Source organism: Homo sapiens, chromosome 2 (genome assembly GCF_000001405.40).
Source record: "Homo sapiens chromosome 2, GRCh38.p14 Primary Assembly".
Taxonomy (NCBI): domain Eukaryota; kingdom Metazoa; phylum Chordata; class Mammalia; order Primates; family Hominidae; genus Homo; species Homo sapiens.
This window is the reverse complement of record NC_000002.12, coordinates 20,986,660-20,990,228: the sequence shown is the minus strand read 5'-3', so window position 1 is coordinate 20,990,228 and position 3,569 is coordinate 20,986,660. Positions and strand designations below refer to the sequence as shown.

General features: G+C 50.9%; 2 annotated features.

The window, feature by feature from the left end:
• Window positions 355–854: an enhancer, noted in NCBI's record as "H3K4me1 hESC enhancer chr2:21212247-21212746 (GRCh37/hg19 assembly coordinates)". NCBI's record gives its function as "activates a minimal SCP1, AML or CMV promoter by ChIP-STARR-seq in primed H9 embryonic stem cells {active_cell/tissue: H9 hESC(primed)}" and the evidence as "EXISTENCE:reporter gene assay evidence [ECO:0000049][PMID:30033119]".
• Window positions 855–1,356: an enhancer, noted in NCBI's record as "H3K4me1 hESC enhancer chr2:21211745-21212246 (GRCh37/hg19 assembly coordinates)". NCBI's record gives its function as "activates a minimal SCP1, AML or CMV promoter by ChIP-STARR-seq in naive H9 embryonic stem cells {active_cell/tissue: H9 hESC(naive)}" and the evidence as "EXISTENCE:reporter gene assay evidence [ECO:0000049][PMID:30033119]".

Genomic DNA, 3,569 nt, shown 5'->3' with positions numbered 1-3,569 from the left:
TTCTGGTCACTTACAGACTCTGAAGAGGAAAGGGAAAGAGGATGGCCCTGATTATCTGTGTCTTCCCTCGGGGAGCAGGTGGAGGCCTTCTTCCTGCCATGGCCTGCCTCCCAGGAAACTCCACTGTGCTGCTTTGAGGATCAGACGCTGAGGTCAGTGTAAACCAAGGCTGGACCAGGAGAGCCCTTCCCCAAAAGCTGAAGAGTGAAGGGTGCTGGTCAGGGCTCAGGCTTCCTCCTGACACATTCCTGCAGCACCACCAGAATAGTCCTGTGTCCCCCAGACACAGATCTAGAGATCTATGGGGACTGGTAAAGGCCATACCTAACTCCTCCAGGCATGGCCAGCCCTCTGCCCCAGGCAAGCTCTGCTGGGACAGTAAGGTCAGAGTAGGGAGACCCCTGGTCACTTTTCCTTAGTTTTTCTTGTTCCCTCAATACATCACCTCCAGTCCCTATCATGAACCTTGGGGGCACACAGAGGAGCTGAGGGAGGTGAATACATGAGGATAAGCAAATGAGCTCAACACAGCTCTCTGTTCAGTGCCGCACACAGGAAGGGGCTCTGTGGCCAGCCCCAGCTGGCAGGATCCCTGCCCCCTGAGCAGCTGCCAGCCCTTCTGACATCTGGGGAAAAGGGCTCAGCAGATGTGCCTCCAGGGCTTTGGCAGAAGCCAGACCCCTTCCCTTTCTTTTCTCAGTGGGATGCCACCCCTTCACTCACTTCCTTGCCCCAAAAAGGCTCCCAGAGGCCCCCTCCTCTGGGACCCCCAATCTCCCAACCTGCAGACCTCCCCCTTCTCTAAGCCAACTGCCCTCTTTCCTCCTATTAGTTTGTCCCGTGCCCTCCCTTGGCTGGGCCTGGGTTTCACGGGTCTCATCCCTTCCATAGCCCATGACTGGGGTCCCAAGCTCCTGGCAGGGGCTCAACATAACCCTGTTGATCAACTTCAGGGCAGAATTGGTCCCAACCACACATCTTCATGGATGCCAGGAGCCAGTGCTTCAAGGGAAGGCTGTGCTCCCTTCCCATCCCTTTCTCCGTGAGAACTCAGCAAGTGAGTGAGGAAAGGCAGGGTGAGGCGGGGCCAGTCCCCAGGAGGGGCCATGCTGTGATTGATGATGCCCTGGCGTTCTCCAGAGGCTCACCAGGCAACTGAGTGTGGCTGCTGGCTGAGGAATGCAGAGTGAGTGGCCCAGGCCCTCCTCGAAGCTCCAGGGCTGTTCTCTTTGCCTGGAGAAAATGTCCTTGCTCACAGTTTCCCAGCATTCAGCCCAAATCTCACCAAGGGAAAGAGGCTGTGTCCTTCTGTCCCAGCCTCCAACTGAGAACACGAAAAGAACAGACTCCAGGCCCAACTGCCTGAGTTCTAATTCCAGCTCTCTTGTGCACTTAGGGGTAACCTTGGACAGGTTAGGGAGCTGTTCTGTGCCTCCACTTCTGCATATATAAAACGGGAATAATCATTGCACTACCTCAGAGGGTTCTGGTGAAGACTTAGAAGTTCATTGTGTAAACTTCTCAGACTAGTGTCATGCAATGTAAATGCTGCCCAAGTGCTTTTATCTGATCATCCCTGAGTACCCATCAAACACCTCTACCTCTCTCACCATCTCCTAAAGTCGCAATAGGTTTCTGTCATGTTTGGTACCTGATGCTGGGAAGCTTATGTCTCTGTTGAGTTTCTGCCTCTGCCATACATACTTAAGGGCAGCATGTATGCAGGCCTCAAAATGTGGGGAGGAGGTTTCTCAGGGGACCAGGCCGGCATAGCCTGCTAACCTGGACAAGCCATGCCGCTGTTCCATCCACCAGGGAAGAGGTCCAGTGATGCCCTCTTTTCTCCTCTCCCACCCTGAAGTCACTCAAAGCCCAAATCCCTGGAGGGTGTCTGCCACAGCACACGTGTGATGAACAGGAGCAAGTTATCAGTCTTCAACAACAACCTACACATCTATTGAAAGTAATGAAATGCACATCATCCGGCACTGATGTCTCTCCAAGTCCCAAAGTCGGCTGTGCAGCCCAGGGCTCAGCAACGTGGGGAGGCCATTCCCAGCTGGAGGTTGCTCATGCCTCAGTGGGCCCGCAGGTCGCAGCCCCAGGGAGGCCTGAGGTCAGGCCCCCATCACACCTCCACAGACCACATCAGTCTCATCTGTGCAAATAAACAATAGGACCGAGTGATCTCTAAAGGCCTTCAGATTCTGGCAGACTTCAGAGGGGAGCCCCTATAGTATCATCATTACCATCACCGTCATCATCAGGAGTAATTTAACAGAGCTCAGCTCCAGATCACTTCTTGCAAGGCCATGTTAATAGTGCTGCAACAAATGCATAGTAACATCCTGTGTCTTTATTTTACAGACGGGGAAACTGAGACTCAAAAAGGTTAAGTAGCTTCACTTTTAAAACTTATGAACAGCCGAGTAGGCATAAACTCCAGATCTGTGTGATCTCCAAAATCATACCTGGAAACATTCACTGTGCCATTTTATAATAAAACTGATGACACCAATAATAGTAACAACTTCCACGTGCCAGGCACACCATATGGGTGTAAGCTTATTTCACCCTTACACCAACCTTATACAAAGGTAGGTATGATCATCCCAATTTTTCAGGGGGATTAAATAACTTGTCTAGAGCCAACAGAGTACTCTAACTTGTCAAATTCAATTGTGTCATTCCTTTTGTTGAAAATCAAACATTAACCGGCACACATCTTCCTAATCACTTACCCAGGTTTATTTCTGAGGACAGAAGGACTGATATTCTTCCAATTAGCACAAGGAAGGCCATGCCAGCCGTTAAAGTATTGAAGTACTTTTGGACCAATTCGTATATAGGGGCTGCCCCCCAAGCTCCCCAAACTCTCACACATACCCCAGTCATTCCGGCTTCTCCCGCAGGACCCTCTGGCCTCCCAGGACTCCAGCCAATGCTGAGTTACTGACAGTGTTTATTCTGATTGGTCAGTGACTGTGGTAGGCTGGGTACTAAACATCCTGAGTAGGGCCCTTGGTAATGGTAACCGAAGCATATAGACACAGGCATATAGGTGTACACATTACATTGACTCCTGGCCCAACACATGCACACGGAGGACACAGAAATGCAGAAACACCTACATACAGACACAGGCTTGTGCACACACACACAAACACATGCACGTGCAGATACACATATCTGCATAAATGTATGCATGCATGCACACATACATGAACAGATGCACCCCCCCATGTCCACATGCACACATACATGAACACATGCATACCCCCAGTGTCCTCCAAATTTCAACAGTTTGGTCCTAAGACAGGAAGAGCCACCCCACAGACCTGCTCAGGAGACAGAGGGTTCCAAAGAGCTCAGCACACAAAAAGCACTGCACTAGAAGTCTAGCAACAAGACTCTAGCTTGTTACATGACCTTGCGCAAGTCAGAGCTATGGCACTGCAGGCGCAAAAAGATTTACAGCATGGCTTAACCTCTCCAAGGGTGAAACAGAATCATAGTCCCCATGTGCCAAGATCCTCGTGGTGTTTCTGTGAGATGCCAGTGCTTTGTCA